Genomic DNA, 16,931 nt, shown 5'->3' with positions numbered 1-16,931 from the left:
GAAAACATTAGCAATCTTGGAATTTCTATCAGAATTGGCAGTCTTTCATGAAGGTTAGGGTTGGACAGATGGGAGAGGTGCTGGGATGGTGCCCATCCACAGGTCCCCGGTCCTTCCCACACATACCACCGGCTCTTGGGATTTGGGGGCTGGGTCCAACAAGTTCTGCAAAAGCAAGGAGCAGGTGTGGGAAGTGCACACCCCCAGTGCTGGGCAGAAGGGGAGGGCAGAGGAGTGGGAGTGTCTTCCCGTTGCCTCTGGACAACTCTTTGGACATTCATTTGCCTCTATCAGGAATATAACTAAAACCCTATCAGCTAACAGTGCCTGGCACATAACAGGGCCTCAAAAATATTAGTTCTCTTCTCCTCACATCTTATCTGTTAGCACAGACAGCCATTCGTTGACACCGATCCAAAAATAAGAATGAGATAAAGAACAGGTACTCAGCCAGGAATACATGCAGGACATACGGGAGAGATACCAGGGCAAAGGAAACGGAGTTCAATAGGAAAGAGGACAAAAATCTGAAGAAAGAAGAGGACAAAGAACAATTTAACAGGTTCATGACTTTGCCTAGGCTGAGCCTTGGCCAAACCACCTCCTGGTCCAGCCTTTGACAGATAACCCCAGAGCTGCCAATCCCTAATCCATGCGATGATATAAAGTGTTCTCAAGGAGGTGATCCCCAACTATAGACACCAAACATGGCCCCAACTATAGACACCAAACCAGCTTTGAGAGTCTGCTCTCAGCCTGGAGCAGCCGCAGGGCAGGAAAAAAGGATGCTCGGTGTTTCCCAAGCTTGTTTGAGCTCAAGAGTCAGGATTTCTGTGGGAAGGGCCTGGGAATCCCCGTTTATAACAAGAACCCCCATTGGTTCTTATGATCAGGCCAGGTAGGAAAACTCTAGGTATTAAGATAGCGTTTCTCATGGTGATGGAACACCTGCATCAGAAGGCCCCAGGAATGTATTAGACCACTTGCAGATTCCCAGGCCCTACCCCGGACCCAGAGAATCAGAATGACAAGAGGTTAGGGTCCTGGAATCTGCAGTCTTTTTTTTTTTTTTTTTTTTTTTTTTGAGACGGAATCTCTGTTGCCCAGGCTGGAGTGCAGTGGCATGATCTCGGCTCACTGTAACCTCCGCCTCCCGGGTTCAAGGGATTCTCCTGCCTCAGCCTCCAGAGTAGCTAGGATTACAGGCACCTGCCAACATGCCTGGCTAATTTTTGTGTTTTTCGTAGAGATGGGTTTCACCATGTTGGCCAGGCTGGTCTTGAACTCCCGACCTCAGGTGATCCACCTGCCTCGGCCTCCCAAAGTGCTGGGATTACAGGTGTGATCCACCGTGCCTGGCCTGGAATCTGAATTCTTAAAAATGGTTCCCAGGTGATTCTGCTGTGCCCTACAGTTTGAGAACCATGGAAGCTTAGCATGATGGCTGACAGCATGGGCTCCAGGGCCATAATGCCCAGATTCAAAGCCTTATTTCACCATTCACCAACTGTGGGACCTTAGGTAGGTGACTTAATGTTTCTCTATATCTCAGTTTACCTATCTGTAAAATGAAGATAGCAATATTTACCTATAATAATAATTTAACATTATATATTGCTTAATACATAAATTTAATTATGCATTATAATGTATTAATAGATATAATAGTTTCCACACATAATGGGTGGCAAGCACTTGGCACGGGCCTCAGAACACCAGCATACCCACTAATTATCATCTCTTATAATCCAAAAGCCACACTCCTCTGTCCCTCTTTCCTCCAAACTCCTACATATTTCTTTGTGCCTCTGCTACAGCCTTGGGTAGAGTCTGTCTATGACAGGGTTACTTACGTGCACACCTAACTCCCCTGCTAGACTGACTCTGGACTGCCAGGGGACAGAGATCATGCCATTTTTTTCAAACATTCAGCTCCCCCTGGTCTTTGCAAGACTTTGTATCATGTTCATTAGAGTTGGAAGGGCCCTTAGCGATCACCTAATCCAGCCCCTCACTTTGCAGACGAGGAGACCGAGGGTATCACATAGCCAGTAGTTGAACCAGGGCTTGATACCTGCATTGTCACCTTTCAGCTATGCCAGTTGAGCCCCAACTCTTCATCTTAAAAATGGGTGTAATAATGTACACTTGCCTACATACTAAGCATGTGCCTTGTGAGTAAATATTGATGATGAATTTTTTGGCAACCTGCAGGGTATCATTACTATTGCTGCACGGTATTGACTCTGCCTCCATAAATATTCATTGAACCATAGTGGTGCAGGGTAAATTATCCAAGGATGCCAGAATAATTTCAGGGCCTGCTACTCACCTGTGAGGGTGACAAAGGAGAGAGCCAGTCGTGTCATTCATAAGATGGCTTTTGGAGCCCTCATCATTCAGGCCAGAGCCTACTACTTTCAGACCCCTCTTTCAGCTTTAATGCCTTTTAACTTTTTTTTTTTTTGAGATGGAGTTTCACTCTTGTCGCCTGGGCTGGAGTACAATGGTGCGATCTCGGCTCACTGCAACCTCTGCCTTCTGGGTTCAAGCGATTCTCATGCCTCAGCCTCCTGAGTAGCTGGGATTACAGGCACCCGCCACCACGCCCAGATAATTTTTGTATTTTTAGTGGAGACAGGGTTTCACCATGTTGGCCAGGCTGGTCTTGAACTCCTGACCTCAGGTGATCCACCTGCCTTGGCCTCCCAAAGTACTGGGATTACAGGCGTGAGCCATTGTGCCTGGCCCCTTTTAAACTTTTTCTTCAGCCTCTGGTCCATTACTTTATCTTCTTACTGGCCTAACCTTACTTTTCTCCTGCCAACCGGACTATCTTCTAAGTGATCTGACTCATCTCCATGGCCCTGGCCCTGGTGGATTGAACGTTGAATATTATCAGAAATCACAGTTCCCACCCTCTTACGGTCTTAGTTCTTGGACAAGAGGCTCTAGAAAGCAGGAAACTCATCTAGGATGTCCTCCAAGTTCTTTCCCAACAACTGAGCAGCCCAAGACTGACCCCTGTCCCCTCATGGCCTTACCGTCATGGTTGGCATTTCCTAGCGTCCATGGCTCATCGGAGTCAAAGTGGGTGTCTCCTCCAATCCCTGGGCCAGGGAAGTAGGCATGGGCCAGGAATCCCCCTTCTCCATCAAATGGGGAGCTGTCGCCATGGAAACCAGAAGCAAAAAAGATCATGATGTCTGCCTCCTTCCGGTCACTTTTGATCTCATGGTATGGCACCTCTTCAAAGGTCAGTGGGGTCACCTTCTGCCACACATCGAAAGCCTGGCGAATAGCTTTCCGCGTGTCTAGCTCACCCACTTTTGGGGTATAGTTGTGAATGCTGGTGAGAGAGGGGAGGATCATTAGGCAAGATCAGAGAGTCAGAGACTAGCAGAGCTAAAATAGATACCTGAGACAATGTGGCTCAGTGATCTGATTTTGAACCCTAGAATTCTGCTTAGCTGCCTCAGGGATTGAAGAAGAGGCTGAGTAACAGAGCTCTGGATCCCCACCCTGCCTCAGTCAGATGGCTTTGCTTTACTCAGTGTTTTCCATTTGATCTCCAGCAAAGCTGTGTCGAATAAAGGATTCCACTCTAGTTTGTTGAGAAAAGTAAATTGGGGCTGGGCGCAGCGGTTCACGCCTGTAATCCCAGCACTTTGGGAGGCCGAGGCTGGCGGACCACATGAGGTCAGGAGTTCGAGACCAGCCTGACCAACATGGTGAAACCCTGTCTCTACTAAAAGTACAAAAATTAGCCAGGCGTGGTGGTGTGAGTCTGTAATCCCAGCTACTCGGGAGGCTGAAGCAGGATAATTGCTTGAACCCGGAGGCAGAGGTTGCAGTGAGCCAAGATTGCACCACTGCACTCCAGCCTGGGTAACAAGAGTGAGACTCTGTCTCAAAAAAAAAAAAAAAAAACCCAAAGGAAATTGGTAGATAGCATTTTCTGAATTTTAAGTTTTTTTCCCTAATACGAAATATGTTCATTTATAAAAGTTATAAAAATATTCAAATAATAGAGAGGAGTTTAAGTGAAAAGTCTCTTTAAAAAATCTTTGGTACCAATCTTTGGCTTGTCTGCCTAGAAGCTGGCCGGTATCTGATTTAATCCATTATAGGTTTAGCTGTTTAGCGTCGCTGTGTTCATATTGCATTGGTTCTTCACAAAACAACGTTACTACCTGTGGGTTCCCTGCCCTGTGACCCTCTGGGGCATGGATTATTCTACCTACTCCACACGTAAGGAAACTGAAGCCCAGAGAAGTCTAGTGATAGAAGTTACTCAGAGTTGGGTTAGAACCCAGTGCTTCTTTCTCTTGATCCACTCTACCCCTTCAAGAGACCCAAGAGTCTATTCAGTTTCTAACCTAGATTCTTAAGTTTCCTTCTCTTGTCAGATTTCTGGAAAAAAAAAATCCCGTTCTGAAGGGACAGCTTATCAGCAGAAGAGCCCTTAGTTCAACCCTAACTTTCCTTCTCTTGTCAGATTTCTGAAAAAAAAAAAAAAAAAAAAAAAGTCCCGTTCTGTAGGGAGTGCTTGTCAGCAGGGGAGCCCTTAGTTCAACTCTTGAGGATCTCTGTCTTAGATCTTGCCTCTGCACCAAAGGGATCCACCTGAGATGACAGCAGAGCCTTGAGAAGTGCCAGCCAGCACCCACCCGAGCCTGCCCATGCCTGGCCCTTGCCCCAGCCCCACCTGAGCCTGCCCATGCCTGGCCCTTGCCCCAGCCCCACCTGAGCCTGCCCATGCCTGGCCCTTGCCCCAGCCCCACCTGAGCCTGCCCATGCCTGGCCCTTGCCCCAGCCCCACCTGAGCCTGCCCATGCCTGGCCCTTGCCCCAGCCCCACCTGAGCCTGCCCATGCCGGGCCCTTGCCCCAGCCCCACCTGAGCCTGCCCATGCCTGGCCCTTGCCCCAGCCCCACCTGAGCCTGCCCATGCCTGGCCCTTGCCCCAGCCCCACCTGAGCCTGTCCAGTGCCTGCCCCTTGCCCCACCCCCACCTGAGCCTGCTCAATGCCTGGCCCTTGCCCCAGCCTCACTCCGGTGCTTCAGTCTGCTGTGATGGGCTCCATCATCTAGTTCTTGGGCCACTGATCTGACTTGGAGATGGATCCTGCTCTGCCCTTGGTTCCTCCAGACAGTCAAAGATGACACTATTATGATTCAGGTCCCAGTTCTTTATACTCCTTAAGAAACAACTGGAACTCTGCGTTGGGAATCTCAGGTGAAGTCCATCAGGTGGATTTTGGGGTGGGAGGATCCAGATCAGAGGGAATGGGGTTTGGCAGGCAGTGATAAGGAGACTGAATTAAGCCATGGTTTTGTTTGTTTTGTTTTGTGGTTTTTGTTTCATTTGTTTTGTTTTGGAGACAGAGTCTCACTCTGTCACGCAGGCTGGAGTGCAGTGGCATGATATAGCTCACTGCAAGCCACGATTCTTTTTCACAGCTGAAAGTTACCAAACCATTCATACCCCACTTCCTGTAACCTAAAAACTATAGGCATCTAAACAGAAGACAACTAAGAGCCCCCAGAGGACCAAATAAACCTGAGGTTGGAGTCACAGCATCCTGTGGAAGCCACAAGGAGGACAAGGTTATGGGCTCTCAGCACCTAGTGCCAATGCCCACATGCCTGGCTCTTGGCCTATGTTGTAAGCCTGATCCCCAGGCCCCCCTACATTGTGAGCCTTTGAAACTCAGGCCAGGAAAAACAGAGTGAGGGTGGAGCCAAAGGCAGGGAGGAAGAGGGAGAGTCGAAGCACCTGTAGGTGATGTGTTTTTGCCTCCACTTCTGTCCAGTCAGGGCATAGCGCTTGTTTCTCCGCCTACGGCTTAAGTGGGGGTGATCAGGGACACCACATCGGGGTTTCTTCATCCACCTGGGCAGAGAGAGGACACACACACACGCATATGCACTGTGGTCACTGAACACTTTAGGAAGGGACTGCCTATTCCCCAGCTCCAGTCTGGAAAGCAATGTGCATCCTCAAGCTACACTCTGGGACCCTGGCTTGGATGGACCCCAACAAGAACATGATTGATTGATTCATTAATTCATGCACTCACAATCATAGATGAGGAAATAGCTGTATAAAGACTGAGAATCAGAATATATGGGCTTGATAAGCTCCAGCTCCACCACTAGTCATAGGACCCCCAGGCAAGTGGCTGAACCAATATGAACCTCAGTTTCCTCCTCTGCAACATGAGAACTCTAGTTCTTGGTCTTAGGTGGAGGTGCGTCTTCAAGGAGGAAGTACATGTGAAAATGCTCTGTAAATGCAATGAGATTACAGGATGCCCTGGTTAAAAGCCTCCAGCGACTTCCCCAAACACTGAGAATAAAATTCAAACTCTTCAGCTGGGCACGGTGGCTCACGCCTGTAATCCCAGCACTTTGGGAGGCTGAGGCGGGTGGATTATCTGAGGTCAGGAGTTCGAGACCAGCCTGGCCAACACGGTGAAACCCCATCTGTACTAAAAATACAAAAAAAAAAATTAGCCAGCTGCAGTGGTTCACACTTGTAATCCCAGCTACTCAGCAGGCCGAGGCAGGGGACTTGCTTGAACCCGTGAGGCGGAGGTTGCAGTGAACCAAGATTGTGCCATTGTGCTCCAGCCTGGGCAAGAAGAGTGAAATGCCGTTTCAGGAAAAAAAAAAAAAAAAGAAGTGGCTTAACAACTGTGGGATGTGGAACATAATTCTCTGCAGCACTTATTATATTGTGTTGTGATTTAAAATTTATTGGTTTATTTCCTCTAATAAATGGTAAATTGAGGACAGGAACTATGTCCTATTCATCATTGTATCCTCAAAAGAAGGTAGCCCAGTGCCTGAAATTACGTAAATCCTGATATCTGTTTGTTACCAGGTGATATGTTTTGATTTGTGTCTCTGTTGGAGGCGGGGCCTGGTGGGAGGTGATTGGGCCATGCAGGCAGACTTCCCCCTTGCTGTTCTGCTGATAGTGAGTGAGTTCTCATGAGATCTGGTTGTTTAATGGTGTGGAGCACCTCCCCCTTCTCACTCTTCCCCCTGCTCCTGCCATATGATGATGTGCTTGTTTCCCCTTTGCCTTCTACTACGATTGAAAGTTTCCTGAGGCGTCCCCAGCCATGCTTCCTGTAAAGCCTGTGGAACCCTGAGCCAACTAAACCTCTTTTCTTTATAAATTACCCAGTTTCAGGTATTTCTCTTTCTTTCTTTCTTTTTTTTTTTTTGAGACAGAGTCTCGCTCTGTTGCCCAGGCTGGAGTGTAGTGGTGCCATCTCAGCTCACTGCAACCTCTGCCTCCCAAGTTCAAGCAATTCTCCTGCCTCAACCTCCTGAGTAGTAGCTGGGATTACAGGCGCGCACCACCACGCTTGGCTAATTTTTGTACTTTTAGTACAGACAGGGTTTCACTATGTTGGCCAAGCTGGTCTTGAACTCCTAGCCTCAGGTGATCTGCCCACCTTGGCCTCCCAAAGTGCTGGGACTACAGACATGAGCCACTGCGCCCAGCACATTCTTTTAAAATGTTTAATTCTTGGCCAGGTGCAGTAGCTAACACCTATAATCCTAGCACTTTGGGAAGCTGAGGCAGGAGATTGCTTGAGCCTAGAAGATTGTGACCAGCCTGGGCAACATGGCAAAACCCTATCTCTACTAAAGATACAAAAAATTAGCCAGGCATGGTGGCATGTGCCTGTAGTCCCAGCTACTAGGGAGGCTGAGGTGGGAGGATCACCTGAGCTTGGAAAGTTGAGGCTACAGTGAGCCAAGATCACACCAGTACACTTGGGTGAGGGGAGTCAGACCTTGTCTCAATAAATAGATAAATAAATAAATAAAATAAAAAAGTTTGATTCTCAAAACAACACTGTGAGGTAACAGAAATTATTATTCCCGGGCCAGGCACGGTGGCTCACACCTGTAATCCCAGCACTTTGGGAGGCCGAGGCGGGCGGATCACGAGGTCAGGAGATCGAGACCATCCTGGCTAACATGGTGAAACCCCGTCTGTACTAAAAAATAAAAAAAAAAAATTAGCCGGGCGTGGTGGCGGGCCCCTGTAGTCCCAGCTACTTGGGAGGCTGAGGCAGGAGAATGGCTTGAACCCAGGAGGTGGAGCTTGCAGTGAGCCGAGATCCCGCCACTGCACTCCAACCTGGGCGACAGAGCGAGACTCCGTCTCAAAAAAAAAAAAAAGAAATTATTATTCCCATTTCACAGATGAGGGAAACAATCCACAGATAAATCCAGTACCTTGCAAAACACAGAAATCAGCAAGGCAGGACTGGAACTTAGTTGAATGAAAAAATGAACTATTCATTAATGCAATTTAACAAAGCCTGGAGCTTTTATTTTTTCCTGTCAGTGCTTAGCACAAAGCTGAGCTAGAGGAACTATGTTGTTGACCAAATGAATGAGTGAATGAATAAATGTGTGACATTTCCCAAGGCGACACTCAAACATAGGACTTTAAATGGCTAATCTAGCTTCCTTTAATTAACAGTCCCTGGGAAGGGAACCAAGAACCACCTCTGACTGAGTTAGACCCAAAGGCACCTAGGGGAGGAAACAGGCTCAGAGAAAGGCAGCCATTGCCCAAGGTCACAGAGCTGGAGCTGCATCTTGGGGCTCTAAATTCTACCCTGAACACTCCCCATCTCAGGTCTTGGATTAATAAGTGCAACTGGCTTCCTCCTTCCCCTGCTTCCAGACCACAACTCCCCCGCCTTCTACAAGGAGGTGTGGGCAGAACTGCAAGTGGGAAATGCCATCCTTTTCCCTCGGATCATTCCCGCTGCCTCCTCCTTTCACCATCCACCTGCCACTCTCTGAGCGCCATCCAACAGGCCTGGGGCTTTTTGGAACAGAGTAAAACCCAAGGCCAGGTGGTGCCGCAGCAGAGACACCAGTGCTTCTGCCCCAGGATGCACTGCCATGAGGCCTGTGCAAAGCCCTCAAAATAACCTCCGCTTTGAAAGGCGGCTGGGCTCTCTTTAACCAGCCCACTCTGGAGACCACGGGGCCAAGGAGTCCACTGTATTCACAACAGCACAGGAGAAGAAGTTCACACTCATAATCAGAGAATCCTAGGAATGGGAAATGTTCACACAGGATTTTAGGATCCTAAAACCCCAGACTTGCCAAGTTTTAAAAGCTTAGATGCTTAAAATAATGGAATCTAGGCTGGGCACGGTGGCTCACGCCTGTAATCCTAGCACTCTGGGAGGCCGAGGTGGGCCGATCACCTGAGGTCAGGAGTTCGAGACCAGCCTGGCCAACATGGTGAAACCCCATCTCTACTAAAAATACAAAAAAAATTAGCCAGCATGGTGGTACATGCCTGTAATCTTAGCTACTTGGGAGGCTGAGGCAGGAGAATCGCTTGAACCCTGGAGGCAGTGGTTGCAGTGAACCGAGATCACGCCACTGCCCTCCAGCCTGGGTGACAGATCGAGACTTCATCTCATCAAAAAAAAAAAAAAGGGGGGGGGAATCTAGAATTTAGAGCCATAATCCAACACCCTCCTTTGCAAATGAACACACTGAGACCCAGAGAGATGATTCTGTCCAGGAGTGACTTACGTCAAATTGATCCTTGATCCACAACTGGGTGCATTTCCTGTTCCTCCCCCCACCAACTCCCTTGGATCCTCACCCAGCCCTGCTAGCATCTTCCACCTGCCTCAGGTTCCCCTCCCTTCCCACCTCCTTAGGAAACTCACTCCTGTTCTTTTCCATGCTTTAATGATGTGAATGGCTTTTCTTAAACAACTCTCATAGCTTTCTTAAGCAAGTTTAAGGCTGTTCAACTCTCTCCTATCTTAGACAAACAAAACTTCATCCTCTAGCTGCTACCCATTTCTCCCCACCTCCCTGTCAAGCTTCTTGAATGTCTTCCCTCCACTTGCCACCTCTTCTCCTCACCTCCGCTTCTCCCCACTTCAGTCTGACTTCATCTCCACCATTCTGCTGAGGTTAACAACAAGCTCTTTGTCACTAAACCCAGCAGACAACTTTCAGCCATGCTCCTGTTGGAGGGCTCTGGAGTGGCTGGCCCCACTGACCACCCCACACCATGTGGCATCATGACATTGCATCACATCATCACGTCAGGCTTCTTGCCCTCCGGCTGCCCCTTCTCGGCTGGCTTTGTGGGGTTCCATCCCCAGCACCCTGCCCGTGAATCTTTACATTCTCCTTGAGTGATTGGGACCATCCTCATGGCTTTTTTCTACCTCCTAAGTGTTACTACCTCCTAAGTGTCTCCCCAAAACTCATTGTTTCCTTCTGAGCTCTAGACTGGTGTGGCTAGATGACTGTATTTGTCACTAAATGGTGAGCCTCTGGAGGGCCGGATGACAGGCACATGCAGGCACCCAGCACATGTTTGGTAAATGGAAAAAGTGGAGCCAACTCATTATCATTCAAGCGTTTTCTGTATTCTGTGAGACATGCACGTTGCAGGGAACTCCAGAGGGTGACCCATAGATAAATTATTCGAGCCAGAGGGGATTTAAGACCCCATCTATAACCCAACCCCTCACTGTACTGATAAGGAAACTGAGGTCCAGAAGGGTTAAGCAACTTGTCTCCAAGGTCACATGGAATGTTAATGGGAGGGCTGGACTCCCATCCCAGCACACCCCCAACTCACATCGAGATATTCTTTCCCAGGATGGCACTGCAGGAATAAAAGATAGGAAGGGAGGATGGGCATGGGGTGTACACAGGCCATGACAAATGTGAACCCAAATGTAAGTCCAGAAAGTTCAAAGGCACAATGTCCTATGGAAATCTTACTCGATCGTTGTCTGATCCAACACACCGGTGACCGGGATCCCGTAAAACTGCTGCATAGTGGAGACTGCCGACTGCAAGGCCTTCGCTGAGTGCAGCGCAGATGCCCGTGAGTCATAGGGAAGCAGATAGCCATAGGACTTTAACCAGTTCTGAAAGACACGGGAAAGAAAAAGATGCGTTATGCTGGGAAAGGCTCTGTTCTACCTGGGCAGAGATGTGCCTTGAACACGAGGGATCATTTGACCCCAGTGACTCCTGGACTCATGCTCTGAGTTCTTTTTCCTTCACCCCATCCTGCAGACACTGTCAAATTCATCTCCAGAGAGCAGCTTTTATTGGTGTCCCCTCCTGCTAGAAACATTTCATTGGATTTCTACTGGCCACAGAATAAAGATTAAATTTGAATTCAGAGTTTTCCATTGCCCTGCCTCTTTACTCATTTATTCAGTGCTTTCCACTGATATTGGACTAGACCTGGAAAAGCACAGCATGGTTAATTCTTTTTTATTTTTTGAGACGGAGTCCAGCTTTGTCGCCAGGCTGGAGTGCAGTGACACAATCTCAGCTCACTGCAACCTCCGCCTCCGGGGTTCAAGTGATTCTCCTGCCTCAGCCTCCCGAATAGCTGGGATTACAGGCACACGCCACCATGCCTAGCTAATTTTTGTAAAATTTTTTGTATTTTTTTTTTTTTTTTTAGTAGAGACAGGGTTTCACTATGTTACCCAGGATGGTCTCGATCTCCTGACCTCATGATCCGCCCGCCTCAGCCTCCCAAAGTTGTGGGATTACAGGCGTGAGCCACCGCGCCCGGCCAGCACGGCTGATTCCGTGATGCAGAGTGGTATTTTGAAAATGTTGTGCCACCCAGAAATCCACCGTGTCTGCTGTCAAAGCCTGATGAAGAATCATGTTGTAGAATATTTATTGGCAGGAGATTATATACAATATGTATTGCTACCCCCCAAAAAAGCAAGGCACTATAAATAAATATAAATAAAACAATGCATGATCTTATTTAAATATAAATAAATCATGTGTGCATAGAAAAAATCTAGAAAGGCATATATAAAAATTAATATGTAGGAGAATATGTGATTTTTAGGAAATACACACTGAAGGACTGAGGCTGACATAAGGGTGCATAATATCTGCAACTTATTCTTTTTTTTTTTTTTTTGGCCCAGGTGACAATTGGCTAGCAAATTATTCTTAAATGGGTTCAGAAATATACATATATGGCCAGGCGTGGTGGTTCGCGCCTAAAATCCCAGCACTTTGGGAGGCCTAGGCGGGAGGATCACTTGAGGTCAGGAGTTCGAGACCAGCTTGGCCAATATGATGAAACCTCGTCTCTACTAAAAATACAAAAATTAGCCAGTCGTGGTGGTGCACACCTGTAATCCCAGCTACTCAGGAGGCTAAGGCAGGAGAATCACTCGGACCTGGGAGGCAGAGGCTGCACTGAGCCAAGATTGCACAACTGCCCTCCAGCCTGGGTGACAGAGCAAGACTCTGTCTTAAAAAAAAAAAAGAAATATACATATATGCCTATATATATAAAGAGAGAGACAGACAGAGACAGAGAGAAGAGAGAGAGATAAAGTAAGTATAGTTAGATGTTAACAGTTTTGGGTGAGGAGCATTCAAGAATTCTTTATTGGCTGGGTGTGGTGGCTCATGCCTGTAATCCCAGTGCTTTAAGAGGCTGAGGTGAAAGGATGGCTTGAAGCCAAGAGTTTGAGACCAGCCTGGGCCACATATCAAGACCCCATCTCTACAAAAAAGTTAAACATTAGCTGTGCATGCTGGTGTGCACCCATGGTCCTAGCTACTTGGGAGGCTGAGGCAGGAGGATCGCTTGAGCCCGGGAGTAAGAGGCTGTAGTGAGACATGATCATGCCACTGTACTCCAGGCTGGGCCACAGAGTGAGATCTCATCTCTAAAATAAATAAGTAAATAAATAAATATTTAAAGAAATTGTCCTATTCTCGAAAATGTTTCTGAAAGTCTGAAATGATGTCATAACTTTTTTTTTTAAATAAAAAAGAATTGACTGAGTATCCTTTGGTTATAGTATCACGAGGCACTTCTTTTCTGTGCTTTCCTGTTTTCTAAGTTTTATGCATGGAGTGATTTTTTTAAAGAGGAGAAAAACATTAAAAAGGCAAGAGAATCTGAAAGAAGCTTGGGTGAAGGAGCTCCAACAAGTAATGACTCTGAAGGATAGCAAGTAAAGATTATTCCCGGCTGGGCGCGGTGGCTCATGCCTGTAATCTCAGCACTTTGGAAGGCCAAGGTGGGTGGATCACCTGAGGTCAGGAGTTCGAGACCAGCCTGACCAACATGGTGAAACCCCGTCTCTACTAAAATACAAAAATTAGCCGGGCATGGTGACGGGTGCCTGTAATCTCAGCTACTCGGGAGGCTGAGGCAGGAGAATCACTTGAACCCAGGAGGCGGAGGTTGCAGTGAGCTGAGATCACGCCATTACACTCGAGCTGGGGCAACAAGAGCAAAACTCTGTCTCAAAAAACAAACAAAAAAATTATTCCCACCCAAAAGCATGAGGGGATGGAGACCCAGGGACACAAGAGTACCAGGAAATATGTGTGGCATCAGCTGGAAAATGAGGAAAACATCCGTGTATTTGTTGAGCCCACAAGCACTTCCAGGAGCTACATGCTGGGCTCGAATCTAGATAACCCTGTTTCCCATCCTCAGAGGATTATCCTGAATGCCAAGTAAGCCAATGAAGGGAAAAGAGCCTGGGGAAATGGCATTATTCCCCTCCTAGCTATAGCTTTTGTTTCATGTGTCTATATGAACAGGCTAATTATGGATGTGTCTTTTATTATAAGTCAAATGAAACAGTTTTTCAGAAGGCAGCCAGCCAGAAACTATAAATAAGTTATTATTTGCTTCACCAAAGGTGACTATAACATCTTTACTGCCTTGTGATAAAATCCATCTGATGATACAAGAAAAATTGTTGGAATAATAAAGCCTTGAAACATACACAATAAAGTAACAACTTTCTGTCTCTCACAATTGGATCTGAAACATACTTTCCATTCCAAATGATGGCACAGAATATCAATACTTGCAGTTCCCTAAATATTGATTCTCTTTCCTGCCTTTGTATTAATACATGTTTTTTCCTCTGCCTAATATTTTTCTCAGTTTGGCAAAAAACAAATTATATTTTAAGGTTCAGCCCATAAATTACTACCTCTGGAAGACTTTCCTGACGTGTCAGGCTAAGTTATTTTCTTCCTCTTCTGTGCTCCCCAAATCCCCTATTATAGATATTATAAGATTGGGCTGGAATCATTATGTAAGAGTCTCCTCCTCCTCCTCCTCCTTCTCCTCCTCCCAAAGTGCTGGGACTTTAACATCCTCGAGGGAAGGGGCTGTAGCTTAATCATCCAGTGCCCAGGACAGTGCTGGATACAGTAGTTGCTCATTATGTGCATTCAACAAGCATTAACTGAGCACCTACTACAGGCTAGGCACTGTGCGAGGCTCTGAAAAAATAAAGATGAATAAGGAACTCAGAGACTGACAAGTAAACCCACAATAAAAATACAATGCTAAAAAGCAAGTGTGCATAGAGTTCTATGGGAGAACAAAAGAAGGGTGTCTTATCCATGGTGGGGAGCAGAGCACCACAGAGAAAGGGGAACTCAGGGACGGCTTCCAGATAGAGATGAGATTTAAGCTAAGCCTTGAAGTATACAGCATGTGCAATTGCCTGGAAATGTGGGAGAGCATAGCACATTCTGAGCAGATTTTTTTTTTCTTTTTTTGAGATGAAGTCTTGCTCTCTTGCCCAGGCTGGAGTGCAGTGGTGTGATCTCGGCTCACTGCAACCTTCACCCCCGAGGTTCAAGTGATTCTTCTGCCTCAGCCTCCCAAGTAGCTGGGATTACAGGCACATGCCACTACTGCCTGGCTAATTTTTGTATTTTTAGTAGAGATGGGGTTTCACCATGTTGGCCAGGCTGGTCTTGAACTCCTGACCTCAAGTGATACACCTGCCTTGGCCTCCCAAAGTGCTGGGATTACAGGCATGAGCCACCGTGCCTGGCCATTTGACTCTTGCTTTTTGAAATCTAGCCATCCTGCCCTCCCATGTGCTCCTTGGACCAAGAGCCAGTTCTTGTGGGTCCTATGGAGGGCAGTTCATCTTTTGCGGTCAAGTCTTCTTTCTCTTGGGTGACTTATGGACATGACAGCATCTCCCAGAAGACTGGGGACACTGCATAGGGCCTGGTGCTGAGTGGATACGGAGAAACGACGGCTAAATGGAATTACATACCCTTCACCTTCTCACTCAACTTTCTTAGGACCAAACACAATTACTTTCTATTAGGCTTTAGCTTGAGGAAAATGTTTTCCCTATAGGATATTCTGTATACTTTAAGGTATAAGAAAAGGAACACTGGATAACCCAATGCGTTTCCCTTTTTGTCTTTCTCCCAGGAATTTTTCAGCCAAATTTATAGCTTATTTGTTGAGCATGGGGATGTTTGGAAGTAACCATTACTTTTTTCATCCTTCAGACCACCAAGTTTTATGTTTCATCCTTAAAAGACTTACATAAAGACATTATGGGCTTTTTTTAAATTTAATTTTTATTTTATTTTATTTTTTGAGATGGAGTCTCACTCTGTTGCCCAGGCTGGAGTGCAGTGGTACGATCTCGGCTCACTGCAATCTCTGCCTCCCAGGTTCAAGCAATTCTCCTGTCTCAGCCTCCCAAGTAGCTGGGATTACAGGCATGTGCCACCATGCCCAGGTAATTTTTGTATTTTTAGTAGGGACGGGGTTTCACCATTTTGGCCAGGCTGGTCTTGAACTCCTGGGCTCAGGTGATCCACCCGCCTTGGCCTCCGTAAGTGCTGGGATTACAGGCGTAGAGCCACAAGACATTATGTTTTAATATGTAAGCTGCCTCAAGACATCCCCAAAAGAGGTGTGGTACAAACCTAAAATATATCCAGTGCCTCCCTATCTGCCAACGGACTCTACTGGTTCTCTAAAAATTTGACTAAGATGAATTACACCATTTGGGAAATAGCTAGGGACCTCTGAACAGATAACTACTCACAAGCCAGTCAGCCAATGGAGTATTTTTTGAGCATCCACCTCGAAGCTAGCATGGAATTTAAAAATTTTCATTCCTGCTTATGGTAGGAAGTGAGGAACAGGGGGTCTTCTACATAAGCCCACTCTAGCGTTCCAGTGCTCTGGGAATTAAAAGTAGCTCCTCCTCAGTAAAAAGCTGGCAACCTGGTTTACGCAGCTCGTTTTCTGGGATACTCAAGCAAGGAGCATCTCACAGCCCATCCAAATCCATTACGAACATCACAGAGTCTATCGTGGCCACATCAGGAGTTAGGATCTATGGACTCAGGTCATAGGCAAATGTCTAGGCCAGAACTAAACACTGGGATGGATCAGACACATGGTGGGGGTGGGCCAGTATTAGTGTATTCTCTAATATTCTCTAGGCTCTGTTTCTCTCCCAGGTTCTCTGGGGACAATCCTCAGAGCCTAGGGGCACACTCCTAGAAGGGCAAATGGGGTGGGGGCAGTCGAATGACAGCATCTAAGCCAGGGGACAGGACAAGAAGTTGGACTAGCATTATGTGTGTGTGTGTCTGTGTGTCTGTGTGTGTGTATTAGAGGCTAAGGAAGATGGATCGGGGTCGGACAATTCTAATTCATGCTGCTTAATCCTGTCTCTGCCACTCACTTTCTCTGTGACCCAGACAATCCTCTGCCTTCTCTGGGCAGAACTCCTGAGGCTAGAGCAAGTGTTCTACATTCCAGTCATAGCAAGTCCAAAGCACTCTCTGCCCTTCACAGTTCCAGGCTGTTTCTGCTGCCTCCAAAACCCATTCTCTTTATGCACATTAGCAAACTCCTACTCATCCTTCAAGGTCTAGCTCAATGTCACCTCCTTTGTTAAATCTTCCTTAGCTCTCCCTGTCAGAGCTAGTGGGTGCCCTCTTTACTCCTGCAGTACTTTGTACACACAGCTACCACAATGTATCATACCCAGTCATGGATATGTCTGTTTTTCCCACTAGATTGAGTTCCTGGAGAACAGAG

General features: G+C 47.0%; 2 protein-coding genes across 5 annotated transcripts in view; one reads left to right on the top strand and one right to left on the bottom strand.

The window, feature by feature from the left end:
- Positions 1-16,931, top strand: part of MMP24-AS1-EDEM2 (MMP24-AS1-EDEM2 readthrough) — a 162,759-nt gene that overhangs the window by 20,324 nt on the left and 125,504 nt on the right. The gene's annotated exons all lie outside the window — the stretch shown is intronic.
- Positions 1-16,931, bottom strand: part of MMP24 (matrix metallopeptidase 24) — a 50,309-nt gene that overhangs the window by 19,200 nt on the left and 14,178 nt on the right. For 3 of the 4 annotated variants that reach the window (NM_006690.4, XM_011528500.3, XM_017027597.2), the window contains exons 2-4: positions 10,811-10,959; positions 5,778-5,894; positions 3,045-3,349 (exon numbers count right to left, since the gene is read on the bottom strand). In NM_006690.4, coding sequence (NP_006681.1) covers positions 3,045-3,349; positions 5,778-5,894; positions 10,811-10,959 — 571 coding nt within the window. Of the gene's footprint in view, positions 1-3,044; positions 3,350-5,777; positions 5,895-10,810; positions 10,980-14,154; positions 14,350-16,931 lie in introns of those variants that run through there. The other variant, XM_017027598.2, reaches the window with a different exon arrangement.

The sequence above is a fragment of the Homo sapiens genome, chromosome 20 (genome assembly GCF_000001405.40).
Source record: "Homo sapiens chromosome 20, GRCh38.p14 Primary Assembly".
Lineage (NCBI taxonomy): Eukaryota > Metazoa > Chordata > Mammalia > Primates > Hominidae > Homo > Homo sapiens.
The sequence above is the reverse complement of the archived record's forward strand: the minus strand, read 5'-3'. Positions and strand labels throughout refer to the sequence as shown.